Consider the following 13,038-nt stretch of genomic DNA (forward strand, 5'->3'; position numbering starts at 1 on the left):
TCTCTTGCTTTCTGCCACATAAAGAACAAACAAGTTTTTGCACCTTGTATTACCTACAACTAAGAAAGAGGCATGATGCATATTAGCTGACTTTGAGTTTTGGAGACAACACATCAAACATTTGGGAATGTAGCCCTGACCCACTTATCAAGTGATTTGGAAGCCTGGTAATTTATATTGAGCCACAAGAGGGTTCTGTAGCAGATACAGACTGTAGTACAAACAATCCTGCTATTTGGCCACATGACATGAAAGGTCTTACATTACTAGAGGGGCTACCCATGGTGGATAAAAACATCATATGGATTTGCTAGCAAACCCTGACAGCAAAATCACAATGCATTCCCCTAGATTTCTGGAGCAAGACCATATTGTCAACATTGAAAAAATGACCTTACCATGCGACTATGTTTCAGTAGAGTGACTATATAACTGGAGCTTCTTATCATGGGCTGGGTATTGCCAGACCCATCAGCTCATAAGATTGATGGGTGCAGAAGCAATCCATCAGACAACAGAAATGGCATATTTGTAATGAGATTTAATCAGGTCAGAAAGGCAAAAGCAAGTTATGTGAACAGGTGGCCCACACCGCTAGGTCACCTACCTCTGTTGCAACTAACTCTTTCTCTATTAGCTCACAAATGTGGCTTTGTTGAGGATTGTCTAGACTAGATAATGAAGGGGATGGAACAAAACCTAACTTATTTCACAGATGAGCTGGATGGTTGCATCTCTGACAATCAAAATTGAATTGCAAATGCACCACAGCAGCATAGCACCACTCAGGGGTGGTCCTGAAAACATTGGCAAGAGACAATATTTCAGTGGGCAGAGTTTTAAGCAGTATAGCTGATCATCAATCTTGTGAGGTATGGGTATACTTGGACATCTGTGAATGGCGTGGTTGGTTGTTTGATCAGAAGGCCTACAAAAAGAATGACTGAAAAAATACAGATAAAGAAGTCCGTGGCTGGCCCTAAGAAAATGCAAGCAGAATCTGCAGTTCTTTGTGTTTCATGGCTATTCCTGCCAGATGGAATTCTCTAAAGAATCCTCCCTCAACGAGACTGTCTTAGTCCATTTTTTGCTGGTATAACAGAATACCACAGACTAGATAACTTATAAAGAAGAGAAGTGTATTCAGCTCACAGTTCTGGAGGCCAAAAAGTTCAAGTGCATGATACTGGCATCTGGCAAGGGCGTGGCAGAAGGCATCATGTGGTGAGAATACATGAGAGAGAGGAGGATGTGAGTGAGCATAACAAGGAAGCCAAACATAACCTTTTTATGAGTAATCCACTCCCATGTTAACTAACCCATTACCAAGTTAAAGCATTAATCCTTTCATAAGGAAGAGTCCCCACGACCTCATCACCTCTTAAAAGTCCCACCTCCCAATACAATTACATTGGCAATTACATTTCGACAGGAGTTTTTGAGGGAAGAGTCAAACCATAGCAGAGACCAAGGAATCACGTGGAAGAAAGATGATGACATTGAGCCACTTCCTTCCTGAAAGGGATAGAGATTCAGAATTATTGAGATAAATGCAGTTTCTGAATACGAGTTTGTCTTTCTTACCTTTATTGTCTTAGCCAGCACCACCATAAAAGGATTCACAAAGTGTCTGATTTATCTACCATCAAGGAATCCTATGCAACATTACCCTGGACCAACGTTATAGTGGAAAAGATAAGATAGTGAGTACATGACTGTGCAATCTTCTATTCTTACTATTACCACCTCATCCTGAAACAGTCAGAATGAAAACACAATAATCTTTAAATGTACATCTATGATGCCTGCTTGAAGATGATACCCTATGAGGTTGGACTTGTCCTTCAATATGTGGTCTATATTTTGAAGCAGCTGTTATATGGCACTGTGTCTTTGAAAGGTAGAACACGTGGTCTGGGGAAAAAAAAAGGGTAGAAATAAGAGTGACCTTGTCATCCCACTCTCAGTGAACCACTTGCAGAAAATAGGTCTGGTTCCCAGAAGAGGGATACTTCCAGAGGAAACACATTAAGGATTTCACTAAATAGTTTTGGGCTCCTTGTGCCAATAGAGCAGTAAGTGGGATAGGAGTTGGCAGACTATCAGTGTTGTTGACCCTGATGATCATGAAGGATAAAATTGCTAGCGTATGATGTGACCTGAAAACAGAATATCTAGAATACATATCTAAAACTATTCCATTGGAATCACTTCACTGTTGCCCCTCTTGGTACTTTCATGTTTCCCATTCCTATGAACAGGGAAATAGGGCATCCATGACTAGACTCTGGAGCTTTAACCAAGATCTCTGACCCCTCAGAGCTAAAGGTCTAGATTACCTTACAAAGAAAATTACTTAGATTAATAAAAAAACTGGCCAAGGTAAAAGATAATAAAATGGGTGGTAAAGGAGAAAATGTAAATACCAATTATGGTCTCCAGGCCAATTGCAATAGGATAAAATGTTTGTTCCACGAATCTTCCTGCTAGAAGTCTTTTTTATGGAAAACTGTGACCAGTAATTACCTAGAGAATCAGTGACAAAACTGAGTAGCCTTAATTTGGGACACAAGTAAATTTGGTTGGTGCGACACAGTCAATGTCCATCTCTTAGCCCATTGGCACACATTTGTACATATTGAAGTGTTTACTGCAAAGACCTCATCTCTGCCTGAGGACTTTTACCATATCCAGCCACAGAAGCATTCTTTGTGCCCTTCAAGTTATAAGTGTTGGGAGCAATTATCCCAGAGTAGCAGCAATTAAGAATGGATGGCTAGGGTAAATCCTGTTGGCAAGGATAACTCTGGGATATGTTTTATACTGTCACCCAGTTTCCCCAGTGGTTTTGAGGACCATTTCTCCACATCAGCAACTTGATTGAAGAAAAAAAAAAAAGAAAAAAAAAACTCTTTCTTGACTTTCTTCCCTTCCTTGCCTCAATTCTGTCTCCGAGCAGTGTTTCTTGAAATCACTTCCAAAATAAATGACTTGCATTTAAATCTTTATTTTAGGGTTTGCTTTCACTCCATGATGCCTTAGAATCAAGGAATTATTGTATGGCTTGTCCTTGTAGAGATAGTTCTCAGTCAAAAATTTGTTCATAGTAAACATAATCTAAAAAGCAGAAGACTGCAGATAATATAGGCAAGCATGAGCTTCACAAATATGAACGGTATTGGACTAAAGGAAATCAATGGGGCTACTCAGTTGCTATCCTGCATGATTTTTTTTTAGACTAAGTTGGTGGGGATTTACTAATGTGCATGATGAAGCATAGAAATAATTTTTCTAGCAAGAGTTACAGCACAAGAAAAGACATGTATGGTTTATATATTGGAATTTTTCTGAAGGCAATGGACCTTCCCAATGTCAATCATTCAGAGAAGAGAACAATCTTAGGTCAGCAATGGAGAACTTAAAAGGAAAGCCACAGGTTAGAGAGAAAGGAGGCCCCCCGTTTTTTCCTCTAAGTCTTAGGAATTCCAAGGCACCAAGGAACAAACATGTTTAGAGCTCTCCTCATGGCCCCTGCTGCAGTTAGACTGGAAGCTGGCTGGGAGACATCCAATAAAGAAAATTAGGGACGATCTTGGCCTCCAGGCTCTGACCATAGCTAAATCCAATATAGACCTGTTACATGTAATAGCATTTTAAAATGATACTTAGTCTCTGTTACTCTAAACCTGAGTAAATGGTTTTATATAGTATAGTCTTATTTAATTCATTGTGGGCATTAAGAAAAATCATGAACCATGCCTGCAACAGAAGGATAAAAATGCCATAAGGACCCATTACAGCCCCATTCATCAGGCCAGAGTGTTGGTTGTGTGAGCCACACAACTGATCTCTGCAGGGAAGTTTGTACCTGGGGGATCAGTAGTTACATAGAAGTAGCAGGGCAAGGAGTGGAAGATTTATGCAAGAGGCCAGAGAAGTAGCAAATGGGGGACTGTTCTCTGAGCACACGCAGAGCAACACCCTGAGAAATTCTGTAAGACGAGGGATGTACAACTTATGGAGGGAAAATTGCAGCATAAATAAGAAGAGGCTTAAAATTATCATAATTATTTCTAGAAATTTAACTGTTATGGGGTCACAGGTTATTGAGGCCAGGGCTGTTTGAGTTTTTAAATTAAAAGAAAGCCTATAGAATGTGGGAGTTAACAATGAGGAGAAAAAAATAATTCAAACTGCATCAGGAAAGACTTATTTTAGATATTTTGAGAAAATTACTGAAAATAATTCATTATTTAACAAAAATTTAAAATATCCTTTGCAAAAGATATTCAAGGCACTATATAAGTAGGGCCACATTTGTATTCAAGGGAATTGACTGGTTATTTTTGGAAGTCTTATAGCTTTCTAATTCAAACATGTGAGCACAGACTTCCATATATTATTCATGCATATAAATTCTACTCATATACATGTAAAAGTTCTTAAAATTATTTGTTTTATAATGATATATAATTATAAAAATACATCAATTTCCACATTGATAAAAAAAATCATAGGTTTTTAGTGAAGACAAAATAAAAGCCTGTTATTGATACATCACCTACTTTTAAAATTTCATATAGACCAACTGAAAGATTAACTTGGCACATAGATACATATCAGCTTTCATAAGTAGAACATGAAGACAAGAGGTATTTCTATATTTTAGTTTAGTGACACAAGAAATAAACAAGTATGTAGTACTGTTATACTCTATTTTAAGAATGAAAACTTTTATTAAAATAAAATATAAAATCACTACATTACATTTTACTTGTTTCATGTGAAAATTTGAAATATTAGAAAGTTTGTTCTAAGAAATATATGTTATCCTAAATATACATACACGCATATATATACACATACACACATGTGCACACATACATATTTTTACACATAGGCTATTCAAAATCAAGTAATTTTTGATTTTTTTAAGAGGAATTAAAAACTACTTTTGATGTAATATTGGGTCTATAAGAATGCAACTAGAATGTACTGTGTTAGATAACTTGCTAGCTAAACATTTTTCTATGTGTGCCCAGCTACACTGAAAATCAAGAGCCTATTGATATGGTTTGACTATGTCCCCACCCAAAACTCATCTTGAATTGTAGTGCCCATAATCCCCACTTACCAGGGGAAGGACCCAGTGGGAGGTAACTGAATCATGGGGGCAGATTTTTCCCATGCTGTTCTCATGATAGTGGGTAAGTCTCATGAGATCTGATGGTTTTATAAAGGGCAGTTCCCCTGCACACACTCTTTTGCCTGCTGCCATGTAAGATGTGCCTTTGCTCCTCCTTCACCTTCCACCATGATTGTTAGGCCTCCCAGCCATGTGGAACTGTAAGTCCATTAAACCTCTTTCCTTTATAAATTGCGCAGTTTCAGATATGTCTTTATTAGCAGTGTGAGAACAAACTAATACACCTATAAATTCGAATTTTACACATTAGAAAAATTTTAATATGCATGTATTATTCCATTTTCCTATTGCTATAAACAACTACCTGAGACGGGATAATTTATAAAGAAAAGAGATTTGACTCACAGTTGTTTAGGCTGTACAGGAAGCATGGCTGGGAAGGCCTCAGGAAACTTAACACTAATGGCGGAAAGTGAAGGGGAAGCAGGTGCATCTTACATGGCTGGAGAAGAAGGAAGAGATCAAAGGAGGAAGTGCTACACACTTTTAAACACCCAGATCTCATGAGAACTCACTCACTATCACAAGAACAGCAAGAGGGAAATCTGCTCCCATGATCCAATCACCTCCCACTATGTCCCCCCTCCAACACTGAGGATTACAATTTGACATGAGATTTGGGCAGAGACACAAATCCAAACCATCTCAGCACATTAGAAAAAATATCAAAATAAATTAGACACATATTTGCATGTACAAATAAAGCATTTATGGTTTTCTAAGAACTAAATTTAAAGAAAGTAGGAAGATACAAAAATTAGGGATTTTTCTGCAAGTAGTGTCATTTTATGTAAAATAAAAACAATTGAAAAAAATGTGTGGGAAATCTATTATTAAAAATATAAAGTATGTAGAGTTTCTGAACATCTCATGAAGATGTAAGAATCTGAGTTTCTTGAGTTCATATATAAAAGAACTCAAGTGTTTGCTCACGAAAGGAGAACAAGGCATGTTAACAAATATTAGAATCTTCATATTAACAGAAATGGAGTTGAAAATTTGGACTGGTCACACATGGAACAAGTACACTTCCTCCATTATTGCTAACAAGTGAGGTATTTTACCAGTTGACACATAGTTTATTTAGCATAAGATATTTGGAAAAAATAATACTACATGGTTATGTAGTTTTAGAGAAGTGCTAAACAGTTTACCACATTTCACTTGTTAAATCCAGAGGTAATGAATATTTATATTTTTCAAAGTAAATTGTGAAAACAATTTCAAATTATGTAATTTTCATGCAATTTTAATAGATTAGTGGGTAGTGCATATAAACTTGTTTTTTCATAAACAGTAAGTTATTAATATATTCTAAGATGAATATATTTTTATAAGCCTAATTTTAATAAGATTTTGATGATTTTGGTATGTATACAAAATTTGATTTGAAATCTGTGAATACATGATTTTTAGGAACCATACCAAAATTAATCAAGTTAACATCATATCATATAATATTTTGGAAAAATATCGAAACTTCTATACAACTCTAAGATGCTAGTTTTATATAACCGTATATAAATTAGTTTTATATAAGCCTAATTTTAATAAAATTTTGATGATTTTGGTAGGTATACAAAATTCGATTTGAAATCTGTGAATACATGATTTTGAGGAATCATACCAAAATTAATCAAGTTAACATCACATCATATAATATTTTGGAAAAATACCAAAACTTCTATACAACTCTAAGATGTTAGTTAGATAACCGTATGAGTCTAAAGAGTTGGTAAAAATCCCTTAAATGGGTCTAGTGACTTTCTGCATGAACACATTCCTATTAACTATCCTTGTTCTTGAAATTTTCATCACTTTCACATATTTTTAATAAAAGCCATAAGCTCCATGTCTTATTAATAGGCTATAATCAATAAATATCTGTTATATGAGTCAACTTAGATCATGTATTATAAAACATTTAATATAGTGGGCATCTTAGAAATCAATTGATCTAAACTCAGTATTTTACATGATGAGAAAATGGGGCCAAGAGAGGTCATTGTGTTACTATTGCCTCAAATCACTTAGCTAGTTAATGACAGAGCTACAACTAGAACCCAGTGGACATTCAGTGGTTATTCCACCCCACCACACATGCACATACTCCCCCCCAAAACTAATGCTATTTCAGGGTTTATTAGTTATACTGTATTTTTAAAAATCATTTCACTTGCATATATTTTGTTTTCACAAAATTACAACCCTCTGTTAACTTGTTCCTCATAGGGCAACACAAGGCTCATTAAAAAGTCTATTCAGAATTGGATGACTTTGACCCCTCCATGCTACTACTGTAACCTCTCATCTGATCACTGTGGGGCCTCCTAACTTACCTCACTGCCTCTGCCCTGGCATCCCTATGGTCCATGCTCTACACAGGAACCACAGTGATCCTCTTAAAAAGGAAGTTGGATTATTTCACCCTTCTGCTCAGTATCTTGTAATAGCTTCCAGGTCACAAGAAGCAAAGAGTCTAATTATCATGATAGTCCATCCATGATGCTGCCTCCATCCCTCAAAATGCACATCTCTGATCTCATCACCTAGTGCTGTTCCCTCTCTCACTCCACTCCAACACTGTAGGTCTCCTTATTATACCCAGATATGCTAGTATGCCTCTTCCTGCAGGTCTTTGTACTACCTGTTCCCTCTACCCAGTCTGCTCTTAGTCCAAGAGTTGACAGAAATCTATCACCTTTTTCAAGTAAGCTCCAATGGCACCTTTTAAATAAGACCTTATCTGGCCATCCAAGTTAATACTGTCCTTCCATCATAATCCATCTTATGGGCTATATTTGTATTTTGGTCTATAGAATGTATTGCTTTTGAACATTATAAAGTTTACATATATATATATATATATATATAGTGAGATATATACATATATAGTGAGATATATACATATATAGTGAGATATATATATATATATTTCTCCCTGCTGGAGTACAGTGGTGCAATCACAGCTCACTGAAGCCTTGACCTCCCAGGCTCAATCCAACCTTCTACCTCAGTCTCCCAAGTAGCTGGGACTATAGGTGTGCACCACCATGCTGGTCTAATTTTTGAATTTTTTGTAGAGATGGGGTTTCAGCAGGTCTCCCAGGCTGATCTCAAACTCCTGGGCTCAAGCAATCCTCCTGCCTTGGCCTCCCAAATTGCTGGGATTACAGGCCACCACACCCAGCCTTGTTATATTTTTTTAGTTGCCTATCTCTTCCTATTGGAATTTAAGTAAGCCCCACGATAGTAGGGAGCATTATCTTTGGCTCACTTACATATTCCAAGTGCCTAGAACTATGAATGGCATATGAGAGAGGAATTGAAATAATTGACCACACTTTCTAATGAAAAAATATTTATTTACTGTATATTGTGTTTTTATAATATTTTTAAATAATTGGTTTATATTGATAACTATGATAAAGCTATAGTCATAAATTTAGATTGTGCTAACTAGCTACAAATGAGAAAACATGTAAACTATGTAGATTTTATATTTTACATAATTCAGATTTTGACATTTTCAATGTATATCTTTTCCTGGATGTAATTCAGTCATCTTTGAAAGCTACATTAATACTTTCAAATGATGAAGGTATTGTTTAAAACACTGAGCAGAAAAAAAGAATTTACAAAAGTCAACAAAAGTCTACCTTAGTTTATCATGTTTGCATGTTTGTACCTTAAAGTCAGATAGAAACTGTCTTACTGTTTTAATAATCATTAATTCTTATTTTGCTTTTATATAAAAACCTCCTTCATAAGATTCATTTGTCACTTAAATTGAAATATATACAGATTTGACCAAATACAAACAAAATCATATGTATGGCAATAATAACTTCATTTTAGATCAGCTGAATTTTCTTTGGTCCAGTAATAAATGCATTTCTTTCTTTAATTTTTTTCACTATGATGCTTCTTGTTATTAAGTTCTTCTCACAAAAAAAGTAGTACATTGGGACATTTTTGAATAAAAATCATTGCTTAGGTAAGTCTACAAGTAACTTTGTGTCTCCCCATCAAGAGTTAATTGTAAGACAAAAATTGTCAAACATTTTCCATTTTATAAAAATAAAATTTGCTAATTGAAGCAGAGAATCTTTTGAGTTTTGTTATCCCCAGCAGAGAAGCTGAAAACGCACAAGTTAATATACTGTGACTATGGAGCTTAACTACTATTAACAAAGGGGAAAATGAATATGATTCTAGGCCACCATTCATTTTCAGTAACTATATTTCTAGCCATTATTTTCCCAAATGAAAAGGTACATTAGGATCTTATCTGCTTTGCATAGTGTACAGAATGCTAATACTTTCTAATTATAGACTGTTTCCTGAAAATTAGGTAGATACCACAAATAAATGTCTAACACATCTGCACCTGCAGCATAGCACGATTAATTCAATATTGCTGAGAAGGCAAGTGGTCAGTGGAAGATATCACTCAACATGGAGATTTTATCTTAGTTTTGATTTCCTTTTCGATATAGTCCTCTGATTAAACCATTTGAATTTCTTTTCTCTCAAATTTCTTTAGATTCAAGTTTAAAGACCATTTGTAAATTGAATGTATTAGAATCTTAGGCTCTCTCTCCTGGAATGTAAAAATCTCAGTGGATATTCACAAGGAGCAAGAGTAAGGAAGTAAAATCAGATTAGATACAGCTGTGGATAGGCAAATTATTATGGTAGAGAAGCAATGTGCAGAGTGGAAAAAGCAGTTGGGGCCAGCTCATTTCAAATTGTGCTTCAGTTGCTTCAAGTTAAGCCACAATCGTCTCATTTCTTGTAATGTGATAATAACAACCTAAACCATAGGATTTTTTTCTAATAATGATATACCTTAAAGCTTACAGTATCTTCTTTGCAGTTGGTAAATTCTCAATGAATAGGTAGCAATTATGTAAATTATTCTAAATTTACTTACATTTTTTTCTTTTAAATGACTATATCATTCTAAAATTAATAATCCAGTAAGACAAGCACATTAAAATTATACAAAGTGAATTTATAATGGTATCGATGAAGGTTTTCCTTGGTTAAATAAAAGAAAAAAACAAAACATTGAGGCTTCTGTCAAAATTTTTACTAAAATATTTTCAAGTAAGGTTTTGCAAGATATTGCAAACATCACATGGCTACAGTGGAAAAATCATTCTGAAATCCTAGCCTCAAAGTGAAGTTGGACTGGTGCTGCCAAAAGAAAAAGCAGGCAGATTGTCTCACAAGAGGCTTCACAAAGAGACATTCATTATCCCAGTGATTTCCCCATGGTGCAAAGAGTGACCAGTGAACTTGTATGCTCAGATATAAGCTTGTTATGGTGAAAGTGTTTAAGAGTCACAATTACTGAGGTGTAATTACAGTAGGTGGTAGTTGTCTTTTTTTTCTTGAAAAGTTGTTTTTACACTGTTGCAGAACAAGTAGAACTGACTCTAATGTTATAGAATTTATGTAGCCAACTTACTGTACCTTTGAAAGTTTCAATGCACTTCTAAAAGAACATGGCAAAATTAGACACATCCCTCTACTTGACCCCCAAAAGCTCTGTGTGCAGCAGAAACATGATTTGATTTTATGTATAGCTGAGGGACATAATCATATTTATCAGCTCACATATAAAATTAGAATAACAATTTGCTATTTTACAATGAATAATATCTACAATGAAACCAAAATACTCAAATTTCTTGCATGTAGACCTCCATGCAAGCTAAATACATATTAGAAGGGTTCTTGGTAAGCAGAAATCGGACCATGAGCAGTTATAGTGTGGAAATATACCATAATAATCCAATAGTCAACAATATGCTTTTTGATTACCTATCTCTCTTCACCAATAGCTCCATGGTTCTGCTCTCTTCCTGACAAACTCTGAAAAGTTGTCTATATTGCTGTCTCTGCAGTCTCCCCAGCCTTCCATTCTCTCTTGAACCCACTCCAATTAGGACTCCATGTTGTTAAATCCCATGGCCAATTCTTAGTCCACCCTCGCTTGATCTTTCAGCAACTTGGCATCCTCCTCCTTAAAACATTCCTTCTCTGGTTTTTGAGTCATTACGCCCCTGGGCAAGATCTTCCCTCAGCATTCCAACTACTATACATTGGTTCTCAATAATTTTTTAAACTTTTATTTTGAAGTAATTTCATAATTATAGAAAATGTGCATGAATAGTACAAAAAACTTCTATATACCCTTTATCCAGATTCACCAACTGCTTACATTTTGTTACACTTTATCACTTTCTCTCTTTCTGTCATTCATGGATTTTCCAGAACCACTGAGAGTAGATTAGGGACCTCAGGCCCTTTTACTTCTTTACTTCTCTGTGGATTTCCCCAGACCAAGAAAAATTCGTCAGCATAATCATAATATTGTATCAATGATGTCATCAAAATCAGAAAATATAACATGATACAATACCATTATCTATTTTACATTATTAAGAAAATTTCACCATTTTTCCAATAATATTCTTTGTAGTAATTTTGTTTTTCTGGTCAGGGATCCAATCCAGGATCATGACTACATTTACCTGTCATGCTTCTTTTAATCTAGAATTGTTCCTCAAACTGTATTTGTCATTCATGACATTGACTTTTTAAAGAATACAGGACCTTTTTTTGGTAGGATGAGGCTTTCTTCATGATGAGATTTGGGCTTTGCATGTCTGGTAGGAGTACATAAGTGATGTTATGTTCTCATCAGTGAATCTTCATCAGGTGGCACAAAGCATTGGCTTGTCCCATTATTGGTATACATCATCTCTGATCATTTTGTTAAAGTAATGTCCTCCAAGTTTTCTCCCTGTAAAGTTATCACTTTTTCCTTTGCAATTAATAAATAATTGATGAGAAGATACTTTGAGACGACATATATACCCTACTTCTCATTAAACTCCCAACTTCTAGTCTTAGCATCCATTGATGATTCTTGCCTTAATCAATTATTACCATCATGGTTGCAAAATGGTGACTTTCTAGTTAAGGATATAAAGATGTATTTGGGTAAGAAAGGTTATAAAGAAAAGATATTTTTATGAGAAAAAAATCTTGTATGGTTAATTTTTGTCCTAAACTAAAATGAACTGGTTATTTTAAAAAGAGAAAATGTAGGACAAAACAGAAAGTCCATGCATGTCATAGATGGTCTGTGTAAGTCATAGGCAGGGTTTTTTTTTTTCTGATTCTCTGTGTGTCTATCCTTACGTACATATGGAGAAAAATAGAAAGTTGAAAAATTTTAGATTATCAAATATTCTTTAAAACCTGACAGAAAATTGGAGAAACTTGGCTAATTAACATTGCTTATAGTTAAAGCTCTTCATCTTAATGAAGGTAAAATATGAAAAGTTGTAAAGAAATACATTGGCAGTTTAGCAATTATTTTTTAATATAGCTAATCATGATGCCAGTTTTAGCATGGAGCCAAATTTCACATAAATGCTTGCACTGCTTTCTTTCACACTGTATTTATTATTGTGCATAAATAGTACTAGCACTCAAATACTTACTGGTCACACACCTGAAGTAAATTTCTTAATTGTACAAAATGCATAGTGATGTTGGTGGACTTAAAAACCTGAATTCATGTATCAGGAACAAAATATTCATCATATGTATTTGTAGGGTCTGGTTAATGCTGTAGCCTCCAAGGTAAACTGAGTAGGAGAAAAATTGGAGGTTGGTTTCCCATATATTTGTTTTTGCTTTTAATTTCCTTTTTTTCAGGTGAAATAATATTGTGGTTATTTATTATTATTATTATTCATTTCTTAAAAAAAACAGGATACATGTGCAAAACATGCAGGTTTGTTCCATAG

Source organism: Homo sapiens, chromosome 4 (genome assembly GCF_000001405.40).
Source record: "Homo sapiens chromosome 4, GRCh38.p14 Primary Assembly".
Classification (NCBI taxonomy): domain Eukaryota; kingdom Metazoa; phylum Chordata; class Mammalia; order Primates; family Hominidae; genus Homo; species Homo sapiens.